Consider the following 14486-nt stretch of genomic DNA (forward strand, 5'->3'; position numbering starts at 1 on the left):
GGTGGCTCACGCCTGTAATCCCAGCACTTTGGGAGGCGGAGGCGGGCGGATCACGAGGTCAGGAGATCGAGACCATCCTGGCTACCAGGGTGAAACCCCGTCTCTACTAAAAATACAAAAAAGTAGCCCGGCGTGGTGGTGGGCGCCTGTAGTCCCAGCTACTCCGGAGGCTGAGGCAGGAGAATGGCGTGAAACCGGGAGGGGGACCTTGCAGTGAGCCGAGATGGTGCCACTGCACTCCAGCCTGGACGACAGAGCGAGACTCCATCTCAAAAAAAAAAAAAAATTTAGGCCGGGCACGGTGGCTCACACCTGTAATCCCAGCACTTTGGGAGGCCAACGCGAGTGGATCACCTGAGATTGGGAGTTCAAGGCCAGCCTGACCAAGACGGAGAAACCCTGTCTCTACTAAAAACACAAAATTAACTGGGTATGGTGGCGCATGCCTGTAATCCCAGCTACTAGGGAGGCTGAGGCAGGAGAATCGCTTGAACCTGGGAGGCGGAGGTTGTGGTGAGCTGGGATGGCACCACTGCACTCCAGCCTGGGCAACAGAGCCAGACTCCATCTCAAAAAAAAAAAAAAAAAGTTCAAGAGCAGGCTAAATTAATCTACGGGGATAGAAGTAAAAATAGGCTGGGCACGGTGGCTCATGCCTGTAATCCCAGCACTTTGGGAGGCTGAGGCGGGCGAATCACGAGGACAGGAAATCGAGACCATCCTGGCTAACACGGTGAAACCCCGTCTCTACTAAAAACACAAAAAAAATTAGCCGGGTCTGGTGGCGGGCGCCTGTAGTCCCAGCAACTCGGGAGGCTGAAGCAGGAGAATGACGTGAACCCGGGAGGTGGAGCTTGCAGTGAGCCGAGATCATGCCACTGCACTCCAGCCTGGGCGACAGAACAAGACTCCGTCTCAAAAAAAAAAAAAAAAAAAGAAGTAAAAATAGTGCCTACTCAATAGGGTAGGGGAAAGTATTGACCGTGAAGGGGCATGAAGAAGCCCTGTGGGGCGATAGAAATGTTCCATATCGGCCAGGCGCGGTGGCTCTCGCCTGTAATCCCAGAACTCTGGGAGGTCGAGGTGCGGGAGGCTGAGGCAGGAGAATCACTTGAACCCGGGAGGTGGAGGTTGCAGTGAGCTGAGGTTGCACTGAGCTGAGATCGGGCCACTGCACTCCAGCCTGGGCAACAGAGTGAGGAATAAATAAATAAATAAATAAAAGAAATGTTCCATATCGTGACCTGGGGGTGGGTATACAAGTGTGTCTATCTGGCTTGTTGAGTTGGTCATGTAAAATTTGTTAAGTGTTACCGTAGCTACATTACACCATAAAGCAATTCAGATTCTGACAGTCCACTGTTTTTAATAACAGATTTAAAATAAAAAATTCTCCCTTCCTGGCCAGGCATGGTGGCTCACACCTATAATCCCAGGACTTTGGGAGGCTGAGGCAGGCAGATCACTTGAGGTCAGGAGTTCAAGACCAGCCTAGCCAACATGGTGAAAGCCTGCCTCTACTAAAAATACAAAAATTAGTTGGGTGTGGTGGCGGTCACCTGTAGTCCCAGATACTCGGGAGGCTGAGGCAGGAGAATCAGTTGAACCCAGGAGGCGGAGGTTGCAGTGAGCCGAGATCCCAACACTGCACTCCAGCCTGGGTGACAGAGCGAGACTCTGTCTCAAAAAATAAATAAATAAGGTGTCTTCATGAGGTGTGCTGCGTGCAGTGAAGAATTTAGGCAGTGCCCTTTGAATCCACTAGGTGTCACCACCAAGATTGTTTTCTCAACCTGCCTGGGGATGAGGGAGGAGGCTACATAACCCAGAGGAGGATAGTGCCTTTCTTGGGGTAATCTTGAATCCTTCTGAGAGGGTCTATCCCCAGATATAAGTCATATTTGACCGGAAGAACTTGTTTCTTCAGTCTCTCCCTATGAGCTCTTTCATCTTTAGCGTTTAAACCCTTTTAAGTCTCCATTTTTAAAAACACTTTCCTTCTGTAGTCCTAGTGGGAGGATCGCTTAAGCCTAGAAGTTTGAGGCTGCAGTGAGCTATGATCACACCACTGCACGCCAGCCTGGGAAACAGACCAAGAACATGTCTCAAAAATAAATAGGCCGTGTGCAGTGGCTCACGCCTGTAATCCCAGCACTTTGGGAGGCTGAGGCAGGAGGATTGCTTGAGCTCAGGAGTTTGAGACCAGCCTGGGCAACATAGTGAGACCCTTACCTCTACTAAAAAAAAAAAAAAAAAAGCCAGGTGTAGTGGCATATGCCTGTAATCCCAGCTACTCGGAAGGCTGAGGCATGAGAATTGCTTGAACCCAGGAGGTGGAGGTTGCAGTGTGTGGAGATTGAGCCATTGCACTCCAGCCTAGGTGACAAAGTGAGACTGTCTAAAAAAAAAAAAAAAGAATCCTAATATTTGGGGAAAAAAAGAAAAAACATTATGTTTAAATGTGTTGTGTAATATTTCAATCATACAAAAAGTTTAAAGACTAATATAATGAGCACTTGAGTCTCCACCTCCCAGCTTAGGAAATGAAAACTTGGCCGGGTGCCGTGGCTCACTTCTGTAATCCCAGCACTTTGGGAGGCCGAGGTGGGCAGATCATGAGGTCAGGAGATCGAGACCATCCTGGCTAATACAGTGAAACCCCGTCTCTACTAAAAACACAAAAAAATTAGCCAGGTGTGTAGTCCCAGCTACTCGGGAGGCTGAGGCAGGAGAATCACTTGAACCTGGGAGGCGGAGGTTGCAGCGAGCTAAGCTCGTGCTACTGTACTCCAGCCTGGGCAACAGAGAGAGACTCCGTCTGAAAAAAAAAAAAAGAAAAGAAAAAAAGAAAAAGAAATGAAACCCTACCCTCCAGCTGAACCTGGTACCTGTCCCCAGTTGCATCCTCTTTCTTTCTTTCCAGAGACAACCACCCTCATAAGTATGGTATTGTGACACAAAGTAGCAAACCTAAGTAGCCACTTTTGTTAATTCTGCTTGCCAGCAGAATTTCACCAATTCCCTTGGCAGCAGAATTTCACAAAGCCCCTGAGTCAGTGTGAGCACAGTCCCCAGCCCAGAAGAATGCCCTGAAAATGATAAGCAGGATAGGGCACAGCTTCCTGTGTCTCTTGCCAAAGTCACTGCAATTTCCGAAAAGATAAGTTCAGTGATCCTGGCCTTTGCTTCTTCCTGTACGTAAAACAATGTGACGAATTAATGATTATGCCTCTGTAATCTATAACCAGATGTATCTTCGCACCCATACTTTGATGAGATTTTGCTCTAATGTAACTTCTCAGCATATATTTAATATAACTTCTGAGCACATACAGAACCGCCACCACCTGTGTATTCACTACTCCGGAGCAGTCTAACTGAATCTCTCTGAAAGTCTCCTCCCAGGTTGGGCGCAATGGCTCATGCCTGTAATCCCAACACTTTGAAGGCTGAAGCAGGTGGATCACCTGAGATCAGGAGTTTGAGACCAGCCTGGCCAACATGGTGAAACGTCATCTCTATTAAAAATACAAAAAAAAAAAAAATGGCCGGGCGTGGTGGCTCACGCCTGTAATCCCAGCACTTTGGGAGGCCTGAGGCGGGCGGATCACAAGGTCAAGAGATTGAGACCATCTTGGCCAACATGGTGAAACTCCATCTCTACTAAAAATAGAAAAATTAGCAGGGCGTGGTGGCGCATGCCTGTAATCCCAGCTACTCGGGAGGCTGAGGCAGGAGAATCACTTGAAGCAGGGAGTCGGAGGTTGCAGTGAGCTGAGATCGTGCCACTGCACTCCAGCCTGGCAGCAGAACGAGACTCCGTCTCAAAAAGAAAAAAAAAATAGCTGGGCGTGGTGATGGGAGCCTGTAATCCCAGCTACTTGGGAGGCTGAGGCAGGAGAATCGCTTTAACCTGGGAGGCGGAGGTTGCAGTGAGCCAAGGTCATGCCATTGCACTCCAGCCTGGGCAACAAGAGCGAGACTCTGTCTCAAAAAAAAAAGAAAGAAAGAAAGAAAGTCTCCTCCCAGATTGCAATCCTCAGTGAAACTCTGCATAAAACTTATTCTTTAAATGCTTGGTTTTTCTCTCTCTCTCTCTCTCTGTCTCTTTCCTTCTTCTTCTTCTTTTTTTTTTTTTGGGGGGGGTTCAGGATGTTACTCTGTCACCCAGGCTAGAGTGCAGTGGTGCAATCACAGCTCACTGCAACCTTGACCTCCTGGACTCAAGTGATCCTCCCACCTCAGCCTCACGAGTAGCTGGGACCACAGGCATGCACCACCATACTCGGCTAGTTTTTTTATTGTTTGTAGAGACAGAATTTTGCTACGTTGCCCAGGCTGGTCTCAAACTCCTGGGCTCAAGGGATCTTCCCATCTCAGAGTCTCAAAGTGCTGGGGTTACAGGTGTGAGCCACTGTTCCCAGCCAAAAGCTTGATTTTTCTTTCATCAACAGTATAACATTCCTGTAAACTTGTACTACATTTGTATACATCTCCAAACAGTGTGTTGCAATTTTGAGGATAACAGTTTTATTGAGATGTAGTTCACATACTATGTAATTAACCTAAAATGTACAAATCAATGGTTTTTAGTATATTCACCAAGCTGTGTAACCATCACCACAGTTAATTTTGTTTTTTTTGTTTTTTCCGAGACAGAGCCTCGCTCTGTTGCTCAGGCTGGAGTGAAATGGCACGGTCTCGGCTCACTGCAACCTCCACCTCCCAGGTTCAAGCAATTCTCCTGCCTCAGCCTCCCGAGTAGCTGGGATTACAGGCGGCCGCCACCATGCCTGGCTAATTTTTGTATTTTTAGTAGAGATGGGGGTTTCACCATGTTGGCCAGGCTGGTCTCGAACTGCTGACCTCGTGATCCACCTGCCTTGGCCTCCCAAAGTGCTGGGATTACAGGCGTGAGCCACCGCACCTGGCTAATTTTAGATCATTTTCATTACCCCCCAAAAGAAACCCCCTGTACAAGACTGTTCATAGCAACATTATTTGTAGTAGCCCAAAGTAGATAAACTAAAATGTGGTATATTCATAAGATGGAATACTATTCCATCATAAAAAAGAATGTATTTGTCCATTCTCACACTCCTATAAAGAACTACCTGAGGCCAGGTGCGGTGGCTCACACCTGTAATCCCAGCACTTTGGGAGGCCGAGGCAGGTGGATCACCTGAGGTCAGGAGTTCAAGACCAGCCTGACCAACATGGTGAAACCCCGTCTCTACTAAAAATACAAAAAAATTAGCTGGGCGTGGTGGCAGGTGCCTCTAATCCCAGCTACTTGGGAGGCTGAGGGAGGAGAATCGTTTCAACCCAGGAGGCAGAGGTTGCAGTGAGCCAGATTGTGACACTGCACACCAGCCTGGGCAACAAGAGCAAAACTCCATCACACACATACACACACACACAAAAACTACCTGAGACTGGGTAATTTATAAAGAAAAGAGGTTTAGTGGCTGGGTGCGGTGGCTCACGCCTGTAATCCCAACACTTTGGGAGGCCAAGGTGGGCAGATCACGAGGTCAGGAGATTGAGACCATCCTGGCTAACATGGTGAAACCCCGTCTCTACTAAAAATACAAAAAAATTAGCTGGGCATGGTGGTGGGCGCCTGTAGTACTAGCTACTCGGGAGGCTGAGGCAGGAGAATGGTATGAACCCGGGAGGTGGAGCTTGCAGTGAGCCAAGATTGCGCCACTGCACTCCAGCTTGGGCAACAGAGCCAGGCTCCGTCTCAAAAAAAAAAAAAAAAAAAAAAGAAAGAAAGAAAGAAAGAAAAGAGGTTTAGGCCAGGCACGGTGGTTCATTCCTGTAATCGCTACACTTTGGGATGCCAAGGCTAGCAGATCACGAGGTCAGGCAATCAAGACCATCCTGGCCAACATGATGAAACCCAGTCTCTACTAAAAATACAAAAAATTAGCTGGGTGTGGTGGCACGCACCTGTAGTCCCACCTACTCAGGAGGCTGAGGCAGGAGAATCACTTGAACCCAGGAGGCGAGGGTTGCAGTGAGCCGAGATCATGCCATTGCACTGCAGCCTGGACAACAGAGCGAGACTCCATCTAAAAAAAAATAAGAGGTTTAATTGACTCACAGTTCCACAGGACGTACATGAGGCACGGCTGGGGAGGCCTCAGGAAACTTACAATTATGGCAGAAAGGGAAAGGGGAAGCAAGTAATCTTCACATGAGCAGGAAAGAGAGAGCAGAAGGGGAGGTGACACACACTTTTATTTATTTATTTATTTATTTATTTTGAGACTCACTCTGTCGCCCAGGCTGGAGTACAGTGACATGATCTCAGCTCACTGCAATCTCTGCCTTCCGGGTTCAAGCGATTCTCCTGCCTCAGCCTCCTGAGTAGCTGGGATTACAGGCATGCATCACCATGCCTGGCTAATTTTTGTATTTTTGGTAGAGAAAAGATTTCACCATGTTGGCCAGGTTGGTCTTGAACCCCTGACCTCAGGTGATCCACCCGCGTTGGCCTCCCAAATGCTGGGATTACAGGCGTGAGCCATGTGCCTGGCCAGTGCCACACACTTTTAAACAACCAGATCTCATGAGAACTCATTCATTATCACGGAATCAGCAAGGGGGAAATCTGCTCCCATGATCCAGTCACCTCCTGCCAGGTCCCTCCTAACATTGGAAATTACAATTTGACATGAGATTTGGGTGGGGACACAAAGTCAAACCATAGCAAGGAATGAAGTACTGATATATACTACAACATGGATGAACCTTGAAAAAACTGTGCTAAAAAACCAGACACAAAAGGCCTCATATTGTATGATTCCATTTATATGAAATGTCCAGCATAGACAAATCCATAGAGACAGAAAGTAGATAGTTTCTGGTTGCCATGGGCTGGGGTGAGAGCAGAATGGGGAGAGGCTACTAATGGGTATGGAGTTTCTTTTTGGGTGATGAAAATGTTTTGGAATTAGATAGTGGTGATGGCTGTACAACATTGTAAATATACTATATACTCACTTGGATGCTTTAAAGTGGTTACAATGGTGAGTTTTATGTTATGTGAATTTTATTTGCTTGGCTTCTAGACTCATCACACCAGTCTCTGCCTCCATCATTACAAGGCATTCTCCTCTGTGTGTCTCTCTGTGTCCTCTCTTCTTCTTTCTTTCTTTTTTTTTTGAGATGGAGTCTCACTCTTGTCACCCAGGCTGGAGTGCAGTGGCATGATCTTGGCTCACTGCCACCTCCGCTTCCCAGGTTCAAGTGATTATACTGCCTCAGCCTCCTGAATAGCTGGGATTACAGAGGCCCGCCACGACGCCCGGCTAATTTTTTGTATTTTTAGTAGAGATGGGGTTTCACTGTGGTCTCGATCTCCTGACCTCGTGATCCGCCCGCCTCGGCCTCCCAAACTGCTGGGACTACAGGCGTGAGCCACTGCGCCCAGCCTCTCTTTTCTTTTCTTTCTTTTTTTTTTTTTTTTGAGACAGAGTCTTCCTGTGTCACCCAGGCTGGAGTGCGGTGTCACGATCTCAGCTCACTGCAGCCTCTGCCTCTGCATCCTGGACTCAAGTGATCCTCCCACCTCAACTTACTGAGTAGCTGGGACCACAGGCGCGCACCACCAAGCACAGCTAATTTTTCTGGATTTTTAGTAGAGACGGGGTTTTTATCGTGTTGCCCAGGCTCGTCTCAAACTCTTGGCCTCAAGCTATCTGCCTGCCTCGGTCGGCCACACAAAGTGCTGGAATTACAGGTGTGAGCCACCACGCTTGGCCAATTGAATGTTTTTAGATTTTATATAAATATTATCATACTGGATGTGGTGTTCAGCAACTCCCCATCCACAACACTCTGCCTGTGAGGCTCATCCAGGTCAGCATATATTACTGGTTTGTTTGGTTTTGCTGTTCTGTGTTTCTCTTTGATTCTCAACCCAGTGCATCTGGCTTTCTCTGTCATCACTCACATAATCTGCCTGGGTCAAGAGCACCGATGACTCCCATGTTACCAAATCCAAGAACACTTATTTTCCTATTGCTGGCATTTGATATTTCTGACCATTCTTCCTTCTGGAACACTTATCGCTGCTTCCAGGATGCTACGTTCTCAGGATTTCCCTGTCTTCTCTTTCTCAGTCTTCCTCACTGGCCTCTCCCTCAGCCTGGTCCTTGTATGTGGAGTGCCCCAGCTCCCTCTTGAGCCCTTTTTTTTTCCTTCCATAATCCTGGGCTTAGATTTCATCGTCATATTTGTGTTTGGGAATCTACTGCTGCATAACAAACAGTTCCAAATTTAGTAGCTTAAAAATGACAACTTTGTTTTATTTTATTTTACTTTTTATTTTTTTTTGAGACAGAGTCTTGCTCTGTCGCCCAGGCTGGAGTGCGGTGGCATGATCTTGGCTCACTGCAACCTCCGCCTCCTGGGTTCAAGTGATTCTTGTGCCTCAGTCTCCCAAATAGTTGGGATTACAGGCATGAGCCACCACGCCCAGCTAATTTTTGTATTTTTAGTAGAGACAGGGTTTCACTATGTTGCCCAGGCTGGTTTTGAACTCCTGACCTCAGGTGATCTACCTGCCTCAGCGTCCCAAAGTGCTAGGATTACAGGTGTGAGCCACTGCACCCAGCCTAAAAACAGCAACCATTTTATAACTTCTCATGATCTTCCGGGCTGATGGGAGCTTAGCTGGATAGTTCTTCTGGTCTCACTTGAGGTCTCTCTTGCTGCAGTCAGAAGGCCACTGGAGGGCCAGGTGCAGTGGCTTACGCCTGTAATCCCAGCACTTTGGGAGGCCGAGGCGGGCGGATCACCTGAGGTCAGGAGTTTGAGACCAGCCTGGCCAGTGTGGCAAAACCCCATCTCTACTAAGCATACAAAAATTAGTCGGGCATGGTGGCTGGTGCCTGTAATCCCAGCTTCTCAGGAGGCTGAGGCAGAAGAATCGCTTGAACTCGGGAGGCGGAGATGGCAGTGGGCCGAGATCGTGCCACTGCACTCCAGCCTGACAAAGCGAGACTCAGTCTCAAAAAAAAAAAAAAAAAAAAAAAAAAAAGCCACTGGAGCTAGCTAGGATGCTAGCTCACATGTCCTGAGCCCTGGTGGGAACAAAGGGACCACAAGGATGGCTGGACTTTTCTCTCCATGTCCAGGCTTCTCCCTCCAGGTGGTCTCTGCAGCAGAGTACCTGATTTCTCACATGGGAGATGACTCCCAAAAGCAAAAAAGTAGAAGCTGTCAAGTCTTTTTACAATTTAGTCCTGAACCTGGTACAGCTTCAATTCTGCTGCATTCCACTGGTTAAGAGCAGTCACAGGCCAGCCCCACATTCAATAAATACCAGGACTCCTGGTTCACTGGGAGCCATCTTTGGAAATTAGCTACCACAGTTTATGAGTCCCAAATTCCTAGGATTACTCTCCTCAGTTTCAGACCCAAATATCCAGTGATCTAAGGAATCTCTCTTCTTGGTCATTCCACTGTGCTATTCGGGCTCCTCCAGTGCCCCAGCCCCTCCTCTTGCTCTGCAACTGTTTCCAGCTAAGTGTTAACATCACCTCCAAGCAGGAGTTCAAGTCAGAAATTTAGCAATCATATTTGGGTCCTCCCACTCTTTGGTCCCGCATTCCTTTTCTTAAATATCTCTAGACTTACCCCTCTCCATCTCTGCTGCTGATACTCTAATCACAAACATGGCTAAGATTGGTGAGTGGTTTCCATGTGTGTAAACACTTGGGATGCATTCCATTTGGGCTTATCTGCTCATTTTGCAGATGAGGAACCTGAGACTGGTAGAGGTTGGATAATTTGCCCAAAGTCTCACCTTATTCAAGAGTGGGGAGAACTAAGAGGCCTTAGGTTCTGCAGACAGACAGGCAGCCCTGACTTCAGAGGCTTTGTGCCAAGCCAGTGTCCAGCAGCCACTCAGTGTAGACAACTGTCATCTCCCAGTTGGCCTTTCCTAGCAGTCTCCCAACTGGTGTTCCGGCCTCCAACCTGGCCCCATCTAATCCATCCTCCTTGCTGCAGTCAGAGGTATCTTTCTAGAATACCAAGAGCATCTTGGTCTTCTCTGCTTAAGCCTTTCAATGGTTTCCCTTGAGATAAAATCTAACTTTTCTCAATACATAATTAAGTCCTTCATAAATTGGCCCCTGTCAGCTTGACAGTATAGCGTGAGGCAGTAGCTCTTCATGGGAGCATTTTGGAAATGTCGTTGTCCATCTATCACAATGGTAAGAACGTGCTATTGGCATTTGATGGTCAGTGGTCAGGGATACTGGAGTGCTATAATACAAGGGACACCCAACCAAGAATTATCCTTGGTTTCCACAAAACTCTTTTTTTTTTTTTCCAGAGTCTTGCTCTGTCACCCCAGCTTGAGTGCAGTGACACAATTTTGGCTCACTGCAAGCTCTGCCTCACAGGTTCAAGCTATTCTCCTGCCTCGGCCTCCCAAGTAGCTGGACTTATAGGTGCTCGCCACCACGTCTGGCTAATTTTTTTTTTTTAATATATATATAGTTTCTGAGACAGAGGCTCGCTCTTGTTGTCCAGGCTGGAGTGCAGTGGCACAATCTTGGCTCACCCCAACCTCTGCCTCCTGGGTTCAAGCCATTCTTATGCCTCAGCCTCCAGAGTAGCTGTGATTACAGGCACCTGCCATCATGCCCGGTTAATTTTTGTATTTTTAGTAGAGATGGGGTTTTACCACATTGGCCAGGCTGGTCTGGAACTCCTGGTCACGAGTGAGCCACCCACCTCAGCCTCCCAAAGTGCTGGGATTACAGGCGTGAGTGGGTCCCATCTTTACGGTGGGGGAATCTCCTATTAAATTCCCCTTTGAAGACTGAGCACGGTGGCTCATGCCTGTAATCCCAACACTTTGGGAGGCTGAGGCGGGAAGATCATGAAGTGAAGAGATTGAGACAATCCTGGCCAACATGGTGAAACCCCGTCTCTACTAAAAATACAAAAAATTAGCTGGGCGTGCTGGCACGCGCCTGTAGTCCCAGCAACTTGGGAGGCTGAGGCAGGAGAATTGCTTGAACCCAGGAGGCAGAGCTTGCAGTGAGCCGAGACTGCACCTCTGTACTCCAGCCTGGTGATAGAGCAAGACTCCATCTCAAAAAAAAAAAAAAAATTCCCCTCTGGAGAGGTTTTGGGGTGTTTCCCCTTCCCATGAGACAATAACAAAAGTTCAAGTTCACCAGGTTAGTCAAGTGCCCTCAGAGTAAAAGCTTGTTTCAGTGTTCCACTGACCTCTCTCTGCATCCCCTGCCTTATTTTATTTTGCCCTGAAAATTCCTTACTTTTTCAGCAGCTCATCAAAGCATTTAAAATTTAAAAAAATTTAGGCTGGGTGTGGTGGCTCATGCCTGTAATCCCAGCTACTCGGGAGGCTGAGGCAGGAGAATCGCTTGAACCCAGGAGGCAGAGGTTGTGGTGAGCCAAGATCACGCCATTACATTCCAGCTTGGGCAACACAATGAGACTCCATTTCAAAAAAAAAAAAAAATTAGGCCAGGCGCGGTGGCTCATGCTTGTAATCCCAGCACTTTGGGAGGCCAAGGTGGCAGATCATGAAGTCAGGAGATTGAGACCATCCTAGCTAACATGGTGAAACCCTATCTCTACTAAAAATACAAAAAATTAGCCAGGCGTGGTGGCGCATACCTGTAATCCCAGCTACTCGGGAGGCTAAGGCAAGAGAATCGCTTGAACCCAGGAGGCGGAGGTTGCAGTGAGCTGAGATTCTGCCACTGCACTCTAGCCTGGGCGAGAGCGTGAAATTCCGTCTAAAAAAAAATTTAAAAAAATAATAATTTTTATCTGAGATTTTTAGTTGTTTTTTGGGGAGACAGAGTCTTCCAGGTACTTGGCCTGGCAGACAAAGGAAGGCATAAACATGAAATATTTTTGCACGTATTTAATATGACCTGTTTTTTTCCAAGAATGCAACTACTATGTAAATTGTTTTGTATTGTTCAGAACTTTATCAAAAGTTGTTTACCATTTTGGAAAATCACAACCCTAATGGCAATGCTGTTCTATACAACACCCTTAGGTCAGTCTGCATTTATCTCTACCACACTCTTAGTGATTCTAGGTATGGGTGCAAGTATCTGACTACTTTATCTTCTAGTGTAATGGTGCCTGGGTATTTGCATATTGAAACGCCATCCTTCTATTTGTCTTTTTTTTTTTTTTGAGACGGAGTTTCACTCTCATTGCCCAGGCTGGAGTGCAATGGCATGCTCTTAGCTCACTGCAACCTCTGCTTCCCGGGTTCAAGCAATTCTCCTGCCTCAGCCTCCTGAGTAGCTGCGATTAAAGGTGCCCACCATCATGCCTGGCTAATTCTTTATATTTTTAGTAGAGATGAGATTTCCCCATGTTGGCCAGGCTGGTCTTGAACTCCTAACCTCAGGTAATCCACCCGCCTTGGCCTACCAAAGTGCTGGGATTGCAAGTGTGAGCCACCGTGCCCGGCCTATTTGTCTTTTTTATAATCAAGACATCATATTGATTTGTTTTTTGAAATCATGTGTCCAGGCAGGTTATATTATCTGTTCATTTCACTTTGGGATATTAGTGTTGCAAAATATTTGTTATAAGAAAGGAACATTGGGACTGGGTGTAGTGGCTTACACATGTAATCCCAGCACTCTAGGAGGCTAAGGCAGGAGGATCACTGGAACCTAGGCGTTCCAGATCAGCCTGGGTAACACAGTGAGACCTTGTCTCTACTAAAAACAAAAAAAAAATTAGCTGGGCATGGTGGTGTGGGCCTGTAGTCACAGCTATTTGGAAAGCTGTGGCAGGATTGCTTGAACCTTGGAGTTCCAAGTTACAGCCACCTATGATTGTGCTACTGCATTCCAGCCTGGGTGACGGAGCAAGACCCTGTGACATTGGATATGGTAGGGTGGAAAGTCACCAGCCAGGACATTAAGAACGCAGACTCAGCCAGGCATGGTGACTCATGCCTGTAATCCCAGCCCTTTGGGAGGCTGAGGCAGGCAGATCACGAGGTCAGGAGTTCGAGACCAGCCTGGCTAACAGTGAAACCCTGTCTCTAAGAAAAATGCAAAAATTAGCCAGGTGTGGTGGCATGCGCCTGTAGTCCCAGCTACTCGGGAGGCTGAGGCAGGAGAATCGCTTGAACCTGGGAGGTGAAGGTTGAAGTGAGCCGAGGTCGCACCATTGCACTCAAGCCTGGGTGACAGAATGAGACTCCATCTAAAAAAAAAACACACAAAGGCCGGGCGCGGTGGCTCATGCCTGTAATCCCAGCACTTTGGGAGGCCGAGGTGGGTGGATCATGAGGTCAGGAGATCGAGACCATCCTGGCTAACACAGTGAAACCCTGTCTCTACTAAAAATACAAAAAATTAGCCGGGCGTGGTGGTGGGTGCCTGTTGTCCCAGCTACTCAGGAGGCTGAGGCAGGAGAATGGCGTGAACCCGGGAGGTGGAGCTTGCAGTGAGCCGAGATCGTGCCACTGCACTCCAGCCTGGGCGACAGAGTGAGACTCCGTCTCAAAAAAACAAAAAACAAAAAACAAAAAAAAACCACACACACAGGCTCAGCGGGGTGCGGTGGCTCACGCCTGTAATCCCAGCACTTTGGGAGTCCGAGGAGGGTGGATCACAAGGTCAGGAGTTCCAGACCAGCCTGGCCAACATAGTGAAACCCCTTCTCTACTAAAAAATACAAAAATTAGCCAGGTGTGGTGGAGCACGCCTGTAATTCCAGGTACTCAGGAGGCTGATGCAGGAGAATTGCTTGAACCCAGGAGGTGGAGTTTGCAGTGAGCTGAAATCATGCCACTGCTCTCCAGCCTGGGCGACAGGGCAAGATGTGTCTCGAAAAAAAAAAAAGGGGTTGGGCGCAGTAGCACATTCCTCTAATTCCAGCACTTTGGGAGGCCAAGGCTGGCGGATCACCTGAGGTCAGGAGTTCAAGACCAGCCTGACCAACATGGATAAACCCCGTCTCTACTAAAAATACAAAATTAGCTGGGCATGGTGGCACATGCCTGTAATCCCAGCTACTAGGGAGGCTGAGGCAGCAGAATAGTTTGAACCCAGGAGGTGGAGGTTGCGGTGAGCCGAGATCTCGCCATTGCACTCTAGCCTGGGCAACAAGAGTGAAACTCTGTCTCAAAAAAAAAAAAAAAAAATGCCGGGCGCAGTGGCTCACGCCTGTAATCCCAGCACTTTGGGAGGCCGAGGCGGGCGGATCACGAGGTCAGGAGATTGAGACCATCCTGGCTAACATGGTGAAACCCCGTCTCTACCAAAAATACAAAAAAAAAAAATTAGCCAGGTGTGGTGGTGGGCTCCTGTAGTCCCAGCTACTCAGGAGGCTGAGGCAGGAGAATGGTGTGAGCCTGGGAGGTGGAACTTGCAGTGAGCCGAGATCTCGCCACTGCACTCCAGCCTGGGCGAGAGAGCGAGACTCCATCTCAAAACAAACAAACAAAC

At 47.9% G+C, this 14486-nt stretch overlaps 1 annotated feature.

The window, feature by feature from the left end:
• Positions 12742–13036: an enhancer, noted in NCBI's record as "tiled region #10842; HepG2 Activating DNase matched - State 8:EnhW". NCBI's record gives its function as "activates a minimal TATA promoter and a strong SV40 promoter by Sharpr-MPRA in HepG2 cells {active_cell/tissue: HepG2}" and the evidence as "EXISTENCE:reporter gene assay evidence [ECO:0000049][PMID:27701403]".

This window comes from Homo sapiens, chromosome 17 (genome assembly GCF_000001405.40).
Source record: "Homo sapiens chromosome 17, GRCh38.p14 Primary Assembly".
Classification (NCBI taxonomy): Eukaryota; Metazoa; Chordata; class Mammalia; order Primates; family Hominidae; genus Homo; species Homo sapiens.